Source organism: Homo sapiens, chromosome 21 (assembly GCF_000001405.40).
Source record: "Homo sapiens chromosome 21, GRCh38.p14 Primary Assembly".
In the NCBI taxonomy this organism is placed as follows: Eukaryota; Metazoa; Chordata; class Mammalia; order Primates; family Hominidae; genus Homo; species Homo sapiens.
In genome coordinates this window covers 9,971,289-9,987,052 of record NC_000021.9, presented here as the reverse complement: position 1 = coordinate 9,987,052, position 15,764 = coordinate 9,971,289, and the positions used below count along the sequence as shown (strand labels likewise).

At 37.4% G+C, this 15,764-nt stretch overlaps 1 long non-coding RNA gene across 1 annotated transcript; it reads left to right on the top strand.

Moving 5' to 3' along the window:
- Positions 1–719: 719 nt before the first annotated feature.
- LOC105372734 (uncharacterized) lies at positions 720–14,579 on the top strand. Its single transcript, XR_951175.2, has 3 exons — positions 720–906; positions 11,949–12,036; positions 14,401–14,579. It is a non-coding gene; the product is annotated as an uncharacterized LOC105372734 (long non-coding RNA).
- The last annotated feature ends 1,185 nt before the right edge of the window (positions 14,580–15,764 follow it).

Here is a 15,764-nt window from a genome sequence, read left to right as displayed (position 1 = left end):
CAAATCTAGAAACTTGGATGAGACCACATTCAATGAAGATGAAAGGACCCAGGTCTCTCCCCACTTAACCCATACATGATTATTTTATCTTTGAAATTATTCAAAAAGCATGATACTGAGCAAAATCTTCAATCTGAGTCTGATTTGACAATTCAATGCTTTTTGTGGGTTCAGATTGGCACTGAGAGCAGGATTGTCTTTTAGACCCACACACCAAAATAGTGAATGTTTTCTTTTTCTACCTGGGCTCCTTTTCAAAAGGAAATAATGGAAAAATATGAGAATTTGTTCTCAGGATAGTTGGCTGTACATTTTTGGTATGAGGTAGTGGAATCTTTGAGGCAGGTTAAGGGAAATAAGTCTTACCATTGAAATCTGGGGGCCATAGACTACAGTCTGGGAGTACGGGTCTAGGGAGTACATGGACAAAGGGAAATTGGGTGCAAATCCCATTGACTGACTCCTGCTAGCATACCTGTAAAAGCTAACCTTTTAATAGGTTAGTTTTTAATAGGAGGAGATGATAGTGGGAGAAAAAGCTGCGAGATTACATTTTATTCACTGGAAAACCTTCTTATCCCTCCCTGGTTTCTTGGAGAAATTTCTTGTATCTTTTGAAATGACTCAAAATATTGATTATAGGACAAACTATTTATGTAACCAGAGTCCAAGGACAGGTGATGAGTGAAAACTATATTTTATTAAAGAACAGAATATTCACTAACAGAAGACTGGTGAATTAACATTGGCATGGATTCTTCAAATTAATGATGGAGGACATGTTGCAATTCTATTATTATCTGATGCAAAGGACTATTCATGGTCATGACTAATCATTAAATGGCTGTAAACTTTTGAGAAAACACTTCCAAATACTGTGACAGCATATCGGCTGCAGTTGTTAAGGTGAGATTTGTCAGTCCTATACTGAGAAGGGTAACTGCTACTACTCCTCTCCAAATTGCCAATTGGATTCTCCTTTTCACATGATAGGAATGATACAAGTGTAAAGGTTGACAGGCTTTATATTTTCCAGAGAGAAAACACCTTAGTTAATGCTATTGATACAAATAATAAGAGATAGAGTGAATGGGATAAGCTAATGATTCTCTGTCTTACAAGACTTATATAACCTTGAGGGCCAAATATATATATTCAGAGAACAGTAACAAACATACAGGTTTAGTTACTATACATGGGATTATATGGAGAAAAAGCATTTATATCATGTGCACAACAGGGAGAAATTAAAAATCAGAAGAGAAAATAGAAAGGCAGCTCACATGAATTAATTTACTTTTGAAGAAAATATAAATAGCATTTAAAAAGTAAGCCTTGATAGAATTTTTAATAAGAAAGTAAAAGCACATTATCAACTTTTGAATCAGAGGAGTACTGTAGCCCCCACCAATCCCTTAAAGAATCATAGAAAATTTGCTTTATTTATTGTGGCTGAAAGAGTTCAAATCCAATTATGAGGATATGATATAGAACAGAATATACTTGAACAGGGGGCTGAGTTTACTGCCTTAATTAAAGCCATAGAATCTGAAAACAATTAAATAAAGAACTGAGGTCTGTTCATTCCAGCCCCAGTCATGGATCTGAGGCCATATATGTAATAATTTGAACAAAGTTACCTGGGGTGGTATTCAAAGTTTCTTATCATTGGTAGGATGCAGAGCAGAATTTACAGTAGGCCTTATGGAAGGTAGGAAAGAGTCTCATACATGCTCTAAGTGAAATCTGGAGTGCATGAAGAGAACATCAGGGAGGAAACCAAGGTAAAGATGACGTTACAGGTTGAAATGTGTGGTTGGAGAGAATATTACCTGCTTGTGCTACCTTCACATAAATACAAAATTGCAATTGTCATTCAATATGAATGGGACATTGTCGTCTTTGTGTTTCCACAGAGGATGAAGACTGAGCTCACTCTTCACCAAATTTTAATTAGCCATGCCAAATGGAATCCTTTGGAATTGCTCAAGCTCTCCACAGTAGTAAATATTAAGCAATGCAGAATTCCAAGGGCACAATAAGAGACTACTGTTGTAATTAAGAAAATGGTTTAGAAGGAAGTTCCCCTCCCCACATTAACTTCCCTTTTGTAGTTCTAACTGGTCAATAAGTAGGTAGCCCCTGGACATTTACAGTAGAGTATCAAGGTGGTTCATTTGCATGCTTCATCTCTACCTGATATGATGAAGAATGTACAGAAAATAAAGTAGACAAGAGGCTCTGATATGCTATCAAGATTAACTACATAATTCATAGAGCTGAGTATAAAATGAAAATGCATGGATACTTACTCAAAAATTATTAAGAATTTCGAGATAGCTACAACAGAGCATTAAACCAATCTCAGGGGCCTCCTAAGATTTTTTTTTTTTAATTTCAAGTAGGAAAATTTTAAGCTTTGCAGAATAGAAACAAGTACATGTTTACTGTCTTATCATGGATTAAAAAAAATTCATTATCACATTTCCATAATCTGGTAAAGAATAACCTAAAAGATAGAGTTCATCTACTACTTTCATGGTATGATGATAATTTTCTTCTCAGAGCAAAAATTAGGAGAGGATTTAAGGACCATAGTCACCCATATTACAAATAGAAGCTGGGTGATAAATCCAGCTAGAATTTAAGGCACAGCCCAAGGTGCAAATTAATTCCTGGAAATTAGTACAAATCAACTTAGGATGTTCCTTAAACTGCAACTAAATCCTGTAAATTAGTGCAGATCAACTTAGGACATTCCTTAAACTGTGAGAAGTAATTTATCTTTCATAGGACCCACCAATAAGCAATAAACTCAGAGACTGTCAAGACTGTTCTAAGAATCTTGTCTACCCATACTCACAAAATAACTGGAAAGAGTTCAGAACGTGAATACAGCATTGTAGTACTTTCCTAGGGCTGCTGGAACAAATTACCACAAACTGGGTAGCTTAAAACAACTGAAATTTATTATTTCACAGTTCTGGAGGCTAGAAGTCTGAAGCCAAGGAGTCAATAGGGTCAAGCTTCCTTGAAAAGCCACAGAAAAAAATCTTTTCTTGCCCCTGCCTAGGTTCTACTCTCTCCTACACATTTTTGGAGCTTTATTACTTATAGATTTATTACTCCAATTTCTGCTTTCGTTTTCAATTTCTTCTCCATGTGTCCTCTCTTCTTATAAAAACACCTCCAGTCATTGGAATTAGGACCCTCCTTAATCTAGTAGGAGCTCATCTTAACAAATTATATGTGCAAATTTCTAAAGAAGGTCACCTTCTGAGATTCTGAATGAATAATAATTTCAGAAGAGCACCATTTAACTCACTGCAGGTACTGAATAGAAATAAGCATGAAAAGTATTGTGGTAGGTGGTAGCACAGGCAATAACATTAGGCCCTTATGATCCCATCCAACTGGTCAGATGATATTGGGGCATATCCAAACTAGAGCCCTTTAGGAAGAGTTAAATGGGACCACCAATTTAGACTCCTCAGGATTTTGACTCAAAATATGCCTGTGGCAGCTGTTTGCTATAATCCATTTGAAAGACACATGCTGTTGTACTGAATGACACAGCCAATGTCAACAGGAAGGACCAGCTACATAACTTCTGTAACCCAGTGAAAAATGAAAAGCAAGGCCCCTTGCTCAAAAATTATTAAGGGTTCCTTTAGTGAAACCATTGCGTCCTGAGACTAATATGAGAAATAAATCACAAAATCCACTGTGCCTTACTAATATCAAGAGGTAGTAATGAGGGAGTGAAGGAGAATGCAATAATATATAACTTTATATCTTTCCCACCTCTAATACTTTTATTTGGCCTCTAATGGTGGTGTCAAACCCAGTTTTAAATTTACTTGCACCAGAGGAAGATTATACAATACCCAAGACATGATATTTGTGTCATTTAATTTGACTGTGCCTTTTCTGAAAGGTAATTTGTGGTGGATCAAAAGTTCCTTCCTATGTAACCAATTAGGGCTAAAGGTGAAGGTAGCTCCATTATCAACAGAGGAGAGACTTCTGAGGTCCTTTGTCTATCACTTATAACATTTGTTTGACAACAAACCTCATGACACAAGTTTACCTGTGTAACAAATCTGCACATGTAACCATGAACTTAAAATAAAAGTTAAACAAACAAACAAATAAAACCCAAACATTTGTTTGGGTGTGCTAGTAAGGTTCTTGTTATTGATTGTGTGGGCAAACATTATGCATGATGAGTTATACAGCCTGATATTGGGAGGAAGCGTTTGGAAATAGGGTAAAATCATAGAAGATGGGAAAGGTGTTTATAAGTAGATTACATTACCGTGGAGGGAAGCCACTACAATATTTTCACGCAAACAGCTCAGAGTGAGGATATCATACTTAACTATCTTTTGCTATTGTCATCCAAACAAATGGGCTTTGTTGGTGAAAATCTCTTGGCCTGCTTACTGCAGAAAAGGAAAATTGGACTCCTACTGATTTGGATGTTCTAACTGTATAATCTGAATAAAACAAATGACAAAGTGCCCCCTGACAACTCAGCTTGTGTGTAGTTGACTACAGTTATCACTCAGTTTCTAGGCTTTGTTTACCATTCTAGATTATTTTTTTCCAGAGAAACTACCAATGAATTGTACAGAGCAGAGGATGCTGTAGAATAGAATTTCTGCACCCTATATGGCCATAAATCAAAATGATACATTGCTAAGACAGCTCCCTGGTCATGATAGAAAGCAGATAGTGGCTGCCTGTCTGGTATGTCACAGCTTGATCTGGTCTGTTGCTTTGAACATATCAGTGTGAATGTAAATGGAATTAATTTAAATAATATAAAACTAGAACCTAGAAAGCCTCAGAGAATGTGATTTTATGTTTGCTTTAATGCTTTAAAATTATAAATAACTCCCTCAAGAGGTACGTAGAGGACATTTAAGGGAAGCCTATGGCACAGCCAGATAAAACGGTATCTGGTGCTAGGATATACCTAACAGAGAATTTCATGAAGCACATTATTTGTAGGTGTAGACAATGCTTTCAAACTAGACACATTTAATTAGCACATAATATGAACTACATGAGTGGCAAGTTAAGCAGCACTGGCCCCTTTGCCAGGCATTTTGAAAGAATTACAGGATTTGGTCATGTGATATTAAATCTAATTGAAGTAGTGTTCTAGGAGGCCCATCATTAAGATAAAAATGACTTGCTACTTCAAATAGGGACACTAGAGGAAGCTGTTTTTAGAGGACTCAGTTGCAGTAGGAAATCAGTTTGGTTTAAGACAATGCTTGAACCGAAGACACTGAATAAATAATGACTTCCATGCTTATTAACAACACTAGGATTAACTTTGTACCTTTAGTCAGGAAGGACTATTGGATATATTAATCACTATGGGATATTATGTCTTTAATGTTGAGTTGCAGGAATTCATAAAGAAACAAGCTCAACGTCGGGCTCAGTGGCTCACACTTGTAAAATCCCAGCATTTAGGGAGGCTGAGGAGTGTGGATCACCTGAGGTCAGGAGTTCAAGACAAGCCTGGTCAACATGGCGAAACCCCGTCTCTACTAAAAATACAAAAATTAGCCAGGCATGGTGGCAGGTGCTTTTAATCCCAGCTACTCAGGAAGCTAAGGCAGGAGAATTGCTTGAACCTGGGAGGTGAAGGTTGCAGTGAGCCAAGATTGTGCCACTGCACTCCAGGCAGGTGACAAGAGTGAAACCCTGTCAAAAAAAAAAAAAGAAAGAAAAAGAAAGAAAGAGAAAGAGAGAGAGAGAAAGAAAAGGAGAAAGAAAGAAAGAGAAAGAAAGAAAGAAAGAAAGAAAGAAAGAAAGAAAGAAAGAACGAAGGAAGGAAGGAAAGAAAGAAAGAAAGAAAGAAAGAAAGAAAGAAAGAAAGAAAAAGAAAGAAAGAAAGAAAGAAAGAAAGAAAGAAAGAAAGAAAAAGAAAGAAAGAAAGAAAGAAAGAAAAAGAAAGAATTTGAAGAAGTAAAATTATGGGAGAAACGTGTTTAGTCTAAGTTATGGCAAGGTTTCACCGAACACTGTGACCTTTAATGTTGCTCCCTGACAACCCTGGTAATATGGATGAAAAAGAAGTTTATCTCCCGTGTGTGGAATTCATAGAAAGTGGATGAATAAAGAACAATCCTTTGACATATGTAGGCCATGGGGTGTGGATGGGCTCTTTGACATAATGACCCCTGAAAATTAGTGTTTGTACCAACCTGGAATATACCTAAAATACAGTTCATAGAAACAAATTTTTTTCAGAAAATTTGATTTGAGAAAAAATATGTATTCAATTAAATACTCCCATAGGCCAGTGGAAAATGATGCAAATAATTGAGGTTGATGGAGGAAAAAGGTAATTGAGTCTGTGAATGAACATCAAGAGACTTGTAAAGGAAGATGTTAATGAGTAACATTGCTTTGTGGAGGGAATTCCTACTCTCTGTTGGATGGTTCAAATCAAGGTCAGAGTATTAGTTGGCTTAAGTGAAACACTGCAGAAAATGGTGTAAGCCAATAATGATAATACACCAGCAATATTTGGCACTAAGATGTTGACCAAGGCCAGAGCAGATTGGGAAGGAAAGGGTCTTTGATTCTTTCTGATTACTGAGATGCCCTGCCAGGATCCACAGAAGGAAGGAAGCCCATTTTGCTTATATAAACATACTAATGACAGCTCCTGACAAACAATTTGTTTTTTTGCTAGCAGGAGAGTGATTATCTATCACAGAAACGCTTTTAGCAGAATGTACTTGGTCGTTTAGAATTGCTTATGGTTAACAAAGTAGAAGGTTGTGGATTTATGGGGCTCCCTGGAAAATGTCACATATACCACATATGTAACTATCTGCATAAAAATGAAGATATTTGATAATTGAGACAGGTATCTCCATGTAAATAAATTGTCGGCATACCTCTCTAGAAGTCTCATCTATCTGCCTGGGCAAGGGAGTATCTAATGACAGAACCAAGGATCTAAAGAATCAGATTAAGAGATCTAAATAATTCTCTGATTTGCCCATGCCTAATGATTAACTGAGTTCATGAGATTACTAGTAAAGCTTTATATTTTGTAAGATCTTAGATTCTGATAAGTCTAATGTCACAATCCAATCAGTTTTTCCTATCTCAAGGAATCATGTCCATATAATGGAATTAATCCTGAAACTCTGAAAAGTTTTAATATTCTGGGGTAAGGGTAGATGAGAAGTAGTCTCCATATGACTTATAAACATGTAAGGAGAAATAGTAAAATTGTTGTAAAATTAAAAGAAGAACAGAAATTCATAAAATAACCTATAACAATCAGGTTAAACAACAAAAACAAAAAGCAAAGCGTCTATCAGTAACATGATTGAATAGAAGAGCCAAGAGAGAGAGTTGTCAGTGGTAAAGGAATAAATATTATCTCATTTGATAGAGTGATTGTATTAGTCCATTTTAACACTGCTGATAAAGACATACCCACGACTGGACAACTTACAAAAGAAAAAGGTTTATTGGACATACAGTTCCACATGGCTGGGGAGGACTCACAATCATGGCAAAAAGGAGCAAGACACATCTTATGTGGGTGGCAGCAGGCAAAAAAAGAGCTTGTGCAGAGAAAATCCTGTTTTTAACACCACTAGATCTTGTGAGACCCATTCACTATTATGAGAACAGCATGGGAAAGACCTGCCCCCATGATTCAGTCTTCTCCCATCAGGTCCCTCCCACTACATATAGAAATTATGGGAGCTACAAGATGAGATTTGGATGGGGACACAGAGCCAAACCATATCATTTCACTCCAGCCCCTCCCAAATCTCATATCTGCATGTTTCAAAACCAGTCATGCCTTCCCAACAGTCCCCCAAAATGTCAACTCTTTTTAGCATTAACTCAAAAGTCCACAGTCCAAAGTTTCATCTGAGACAAGGCAAGTCCCTTCCACCTATGACCCTGTAAAATCAAAACCAAGTTAGTTACTTCCTAGATACAATGGGGTTACAGGGGTAAGGGGATTGGGTAAATGCACCCATTGCAAATGGGAGAAATTGGCCAAAACAAAGAGGCTACAAGCCCCATGCAATTCTGAAATCCAGAAGGGCAGTCAAATCTAAAGCTCCTTTGACTCCATGTCTCACATCTAGGTCACGCTGATGCAAGAGGTGGATACCCATGGTCTTGGGCAGTTCCACCCCTCTGGCTCTGCAGGGTACAGTCTCCCTCCTGGCTGTCTTCATGGGCTGGTGTTAAGTGTCTGCAGCTTTTCCATGCACACGGTGCAAGCTGTCAGAGGATCTACACTTCTGGGGTCTGGAAGACGGTGGCCCTCTTCTCACAGCTCCACTAGGTGGTGCCCCAGTAGGGATTCTGTGTGGGGGCTCCCTCCCCACATTTTCCTTCTGCACTGCCCTAGCAGAGGTTCTCCATGAGGACCCCACCCATATGGCAAACTCCTGCCTCGGCATTCAGGCGTTTCCATACATCTTCTGAAATCTAGGCAGAGGTTCCCAAACCTCAATTTTTGACTTCTGTGCACTCGTAGGATCAACACCAAATGGAAGATGCCAAAGCTTGGGGCTTGCACCCTCTGAAGCCATAGCCTGAGCTCTATGTTGTCCCCTTTCAGCCATAGCTAGAGTTGCTGTGATGCAGGGGATGAAGTCCCTAGGCTGCACACAGCAAAGGAACCCTGGGCCCAGCCCACAAAACCACTTCTTCCTCCTAGGTCTCTGTGCCTGTGATGGGAGAGGCTGAGGTAAAGACCTTTGACATGTCCTGGAGACATTTTCCCCGTTATGTTATGCAAATGTCCGTAGCTGGCTTGGATTTCTCCTCAGAAAATGGGATTTTCTTTTCTATTGCATTGTCAGGCTGCAAATTTTCCAAGTTTTTATGCTCTGCTTCCCTTATAAAACTGAATGCCTTCAACAGCACCGAATTCACATTTTAAGTGCTTTCCTGCTTAGAAATTTCTTCTGCCAGATACCCTAAATCATCTCTCTCAAGTTCAAAGTTCTACAAATCTATAGGGCTGGGCAAAATGCCACCAGTGTCTTTGGTAAAACATAGCAAGATTCACCTTTACTCCGGTTCCCAACAAGTTCCTTATCACCAGCTGAGACCACTTCAGCCTGGATTTCATTGTCCATATCACTGTCAGCATTTTGTTCAAAGCCATTCAGCAAGTCTCTAGGAAGTTCCAAACTTGGCCACATTTTCCTGTCTTCTTCTGAGTCCTCCAAACTGTTCCAACCTCTGCTTGTTACCCAGTTCCAATGTCGCTTCCATATTTTTGGATATGTTTCCACCAGCACCCCACTCTACTGGTAACAATTTACTGTATTAGTTCATTTTCATGCTGCTGATAAAAACATACCTGCAACTGGGCAATTTACGAAAGAAAGTGGTTTGTTGGACTTACAGTTCCACATGGCTGGAGAGGCATCATAATCATGGTGGAAGGCAAGAAGGAGTAAGCTACATCTTACATGGATGGCAGCAGGCAAAAAAGAGATTGTGTGGAGAAACTCCCATTTTTAACACCATCAGATCTCCTGAGATCCATTCACTATCACAGGAACAGCATGGGACATACGTGCCCTCATGATTCAGTCATCTCCCACTGGATCCTTCCCATAACACGTGGAAATTATGGGAGCTACAAGATGAGATTTGGGTGAAGACACAGAACCAACCCATATCAGTGATTATTTAAGATTTTTTGCAGAAGCCTAACTGTTCAAGGAAGGTGTGTGATGGCAAAGAATAAAAGCTACAGATAATGACATGGCATCAGCTTGATTGGATCCATATTTTGTGGGATCTACAGCACATTCAATTTGGAGGTCAGGGTTTGGGGCTCTTTAAGCAAGAATACAAAACAACAAACTCAAAACTGGAAACTCAAATGCAAATGAGGTGGCCAGAAATGTAAGCCTCATAACTTAGGATAAGAGAACAAAAGCTGATAAACATTTTCTATAAAGGGCACGATAGTAGATACTTTAGGCTTGCAGGCCATATGATTTGTGTTGTAAATATGCAACTTTGCCTTTGTAGTGCTTAAGCAGCTGTAGGCAATATGTAAAGGAATGTCTGTGGCTGAGTTCCTATAAAATTTTATTTATAAAAACCCGTGGCAGCCTGGCTTTGGCTTATTGGCTATAGTTTGCCTACCCCTGGCTTAATAAATCTGCCTCTATTCATAAGTAAGATTCTGCTTGTGTTTTGACTTTGCCATGTGCTCAGGGAAGGTAAGTAAAATTAAAATGTCTAGGAGAAGAAAGTGTAAATAACAACAAATTCCTGTTGGCAACGTATTTATGAATATGGAAGAAGAGATGCCCTCTTATCCTGTGAGATGGAAAGAAAAAAAGCCAAGAACAAATACAAATTAAAGCAAGCAAGTCTAAAATAAGAGAATTAACATTATTCTGGGAAGTAGAAGACAAAGTACTTCTGCTAGGAATGGGAAGACCAATTATGGACTGGAGTATTTGAAAACTCGGTGGATATTTGGAATATCTGTTGTGGACAAAAAAGAGACAGAAAAAAGGAACAGATCAAAAAGTCAAGTAATTTGAAGTGATTATAGGGAAAAGTGATCTGGACACACTGTGTCATTCACAAAAGCATCTGACCAAGAGAGTAAACTCTGCCCTGCGGTCAACAGTTACTATTAAAATTTCATCATTCAGATTCAGGGCTTATTTCTAGTTGATACAAAAGTGGCACCTTGCCCTACATAATGTTATACTTTTTGTTATTCAGAAATGTTGAAGTTTCTATGCATGAGGTTTTTGTTATTTGACATAATGATTTATTTCACTCATTGTGTTTATCTTATCCAGATTAGATAGAAATTAACCAATTTTAACTTTCTGTCTGTTCTGTATGTTTTAGTAACAAGTAATTCAGGAGTGCATGCAAATGCAACATGAAATGAACAGACAATAAAATAGAGTATATTTGCATAAATATAAAGACTTTTCATATGTTATAATAAACAGTATCAAAAACATTATTTGTCTTAAACTGTTTAAAAAATGCCAATATAAGTCATTTTTAACCTAGTATCAAAATCGTAATCATGTGAAAAGTAAATATTTCTTTAAGTTTTGTAAAATATTTGATGTAGAATATTTAGCTCCAAATTAATTAGGAGAATTTCATAGTGTCTTATAATTAAGCTGCCCTTAAATACACCTGAACCTTCATGCAAACGTCTGTGGTTATTTGTCTCCACATGTTTCAGCAGATTAGGTGATTTGAATTCAGCAAAAAATTTAATAGCTTAAGTTGAAACAGGAATTATCCTAAGGGAATCTGTAGAAATGCATTCAAGAGCAGATGAGCTATATCTATTTCTTTCATGTTTTGGTGTAGTAAGTAATTGTTCATAGCCAAACACTTTACGAAGATAAATGATTGATATAATGAATGACCCGAAGATGCCCAAGAGCACATGAAAACAGAAATGCCTTTGTTCTGAAGGAGAATGTCTTAGTATAGTTATAAATTGAATGTAAAAATTGTGGCTGAAATTATTCTAAAAATCACAAGAAGCTGCATTTAAACTGTGCTATGGCATCTATTCAAAAGATTTGAAACCATTTGTTTTCTGAATTGCACCCAACATAAAGCTTTCTCACACAGAACAAAACAGAAGTGAGCATCAGTCACCCTTCCAACATGCATACATTTTGTTCTAAAGGAACAGCTGTTACTTGATGAAAAGTCGATGAAAGATGCCCAGCATTTGTTTTTAAAAAGTTATCACCCAAACAAGAATTGTTTGGAACCAGATGCTAAAATCGAGAGTGGTCTGTTTATTTCAGTTGAGAGTGTTACAAAAATGTTAATAAGGTATTTTTATGTCTATTACTCAGCTATATTTGACTTTTTAATGTGCTTTTTGTTATAATTGGCTGTTGTTTCTATAGGCTGGCATTATTGGCATTAGATCACTGAAGAGGAAATAAAGTGTGCAAGAATACTCTCTTGTCACCAGATTACTGAGGTGTACTGGAGGTAGGTTGAATGGTTTTACAGATGAATTACAGTGAAAACTTTGAAACACTAATAATCTCTTCAGTGTTGAGAAATAACCTACTAATCATTAACTTAATAATTATCAGCTCAACCAGGAAACTACACCACCTAAAAGGTAGTTAATTTTATCACTCCTAGACATCTACAGGAGACCATGATTCTCCATTATGTGAATGCCTTGCTGCCCATGTGATGCCTGCCCCCATCAATTCTAAGAAGCTTCAGTCATTTAGTACTTAATATGTAATTTTTAAAAATTACATAAGTAATACCTTCTCCTTATAGAGAACTGAAACTTTCAGAAACAGTTAAAGCCTAATTTGAATATTGCCAAAGCCCTGTCTCTTCTTCAGAGACAACCAGTGTTTCCAGTTTGGTGTGTATTTTCCCCAAACACAGTGAATGTGTGTATAAACACGTGTAGATTTACCTGTCCTAGATATGAGCATTTGCTTTGTGAGTCTGCTTTAAGTCAAGTTCTAAACTATGGCTCAGTTTAAAACTTCTCTTTTTCTATTTAATAATATACCTTAGAAGTCATGCCATGATATTAAGATGAATAATAATGAAATTATTAATATTAGTCAAATTTAATTAGTTGCTTATTATGTAGTGGGTACTTGGTGTGATATATGGATTATCTCATTTAATCATCATGACAAGCTAATAAATTGGCAATGCTGTTATCTCCATTTTACAGAAGAGAGAAAAAGATTGTAAGTACTTTGCTCAAGGTCATTTAGAGGGAGAGCAAATTATTCAAATCCAGATATTCTGCTCTCAGAGATTGTATTATTAACTATTATGCCACAATAGAGGCATTGTAGTCTGCATGATAGTCCAACTATTTTTATTTGTAGTTATATATTGATAAATATTTTGAGTATTTTTAAAAATTACAACACAATACTGCAATTGACATTCTTGCATGATTATCTACCATGTATTTCCAAAAGTGGAAAGGCAAACATATGTGTTTAGTTTTTACAGAATGTAGACTATATAACAATTGTATTCCAAAGGAGATCTTGGTTATACATTGATACCAGCATAGTTTGAGCCTACCCTCTTCCCTGTACCCTCAAAACCCTTGTTAACATCTTATGTTTTGCCAGTCTGCTGAAGAAAAATTGGTATCCAATTGTTTAATTCAATTACTTGATTACTAGTAAAGTAAGAATTTTTTTATATTTATCATAATTTGTATTGCCTGTAATCTGAAAGGGTTATTCATATTTTTTTGCCTACTTTTCTATTAAGTCATGTCTCTCTAAGATCTAGCTTAAACGTTACTTTTTCCAAAAAATCTTCCCTGATCTCCCACAACTCAAACCATTATCTTCCTGCTTTAGTTTCTTACAATATTTTATCTACATTTCTCTTATAACACCACTTTCTACTTTGTATGATTGTTATTTTAGTACTATCTAATCGGTCCTTTAATTTCCTTTGGGGACTATTTTATGCTGATTAATCCTTATGACACATATTGTCCACATTTTTTGGACAAAATTCTTCAATGAAGATTGATAATTAAAATTAATAAAAATTAAAATAATTAAAAATTTAATTAACTTAGCTTTTAATTTTTTAATTATCATATAGGCCACCTACTGAGATATACAATTTTTGGTCTAAAGTATTACTTTGAAACAATTATAAGGAAACTAGAAAAAAAAAATTTATTATTCTAAGATCCTTCGGATTGGAAAGTAGCTTTTTCTATATAACAAGATTTACTCTTTCCATATATTCTAGGATAAATTCATCATCTCTCTAAAAATTTCCTAATTTTTGTCATTCAGAAAAATAGCCAATTCCTGTCCTTCATTAAATTTTAATGAATAATCAGTCAATTTTAAAACTCTTGAAAAATTCATATTAAAAAGGAAACATTTATATTATTAAAAAATAATAATTACAAAATGCCCATATAAATATTATTTAGGGCCAGGCACACTGGCTCACATCTGTAATCCCAGAACTTTGGGAGGCTGAGGTGGGCAAATCACTTGAGCCCAGGGTTTGAGACCAGCCTGGGCAACATGACAAAACCCTGTCTCTACAAAAAATTTAAATATTAATCAGATGTGGTGGTGTGCGCCTATAATCCCAGCTACTCAGGATGTTGAGGTGGGAGTGATGGGGTGGGAGTGATAGGGAAGGGAGGCAGGGAAATTCTGGGCAAAAGAGGGCAGGTCCCTGGCAAGGGCTCCACCCTCAAGCCTGGAACCAAAGCCCAAAGTGAGAACATACGTTCCTGTTTTCCCACTCAAATGTTGCCTTTTACAAAATTACCCATGACCTCCCCTGTTCCCCATCCTGTGCCCATAAAAACCCCAGACTCAGCTAGCAAAAAAGAGAAGCAGCTGAACATCAAAAGAGAAGCAGCAGCTAGGCATCAGAGACTATGGTTGGACGTTGGAGAGAAGCAGCTTGATTTCAGAGAGACAGTTTGACAGTGCAACTTTGGAGAAGAGTCCAGCCAGAAACCTTCCTGCTACATGTCCTTCCCAGCTGCCCTTCCTGCTGAGAGCCACTTTCCTTGGCAATAAAATCCTCTGCATTTACCATCCTTCAATTCGTTTCTGTGAGCTGATTTTTCCTGGATGCCAAACAAGAGCTCAGGAGTGAGTGTGGATACAAAAAGGCATGCTGAGCTGCTAACACTTCAGCTGTCTGAAGATGGCAGAGCTAAAGGAGCACTGTAATATGCCCACTGGGGCTTCAGGAATCACAGGCACCCCCCCTAACACCAGGGGCTGCTATGAGGCCCACATGGAGTTTGCTCCTGCCAACACCCCAGAGCTCTCTTCCTGGCTCCTATACCTGCTCACCTGCATGCTCTCTCCTGCAAGAGGTGGAACACAGCAGGTCAGAGTGGGTGAGTTCACTCCTTCTGGCACCAAAGAGGCCACTGGTTCCAGCACTCATGTACTCCAGTTCCTGCCTTATTCAATTACACACTCCCTCCCTTGAGGAGTTGAGAGCAGTGGGCTGAGTAAATGGGGCACCCCTGTCACGAGTCCCATGAAGGGGTCAGGGAAATGCCCTGCTTCAGGAGGATCTCGAGCCCAGGAGGTGAAGGATGCGGTGAGCCAGGATCGTGCAACTGAACTCTGGCCTGGGTGACAGAGTGAGACTCTGTCCCAAAATAAATAAATAAATAATTTAATTAATTAAATTTAGCTTATTCTTTTGAACTTCATTCTTCATAGTGTTATAAAATACATGATTTAAGACAGTGAGAAAGAGAGAGAAGCCAATGATGGACTTCTAATAGAATTCAGAGTGGGACTTGTTTGAACATTTCAACCAAATAACAAAAGATTCCTGCAATTAGTTGACTCTTCAGTCTACCTCAGTTTTAAACATGTTTCAGGTTGCCCTTAACAAACGAGTATAGTTTACTTTGGGCTGATAAATTCTGTGGATGGCAAGAGGTTGTGAATATCCCTTTATAAACCCAGAACTAATGCTACATATCCCTGGCATTAGTGCCTTATTTATCTAAACTTACAAATATATTGGGCAAAATTCCGGGATATGGGCACAGAATTAATAATTGAATACCTTATTTTGTATGGTCATTTGCTCACTGACAAAGATAGAGAAGCAGCTGAAATTCATGATTATGATCCCTAGTTACATCTCTCTTTAAGTCCTTATGTTTGGTTCCCTGGGAGTTTCAGCGCATTTATATAGCA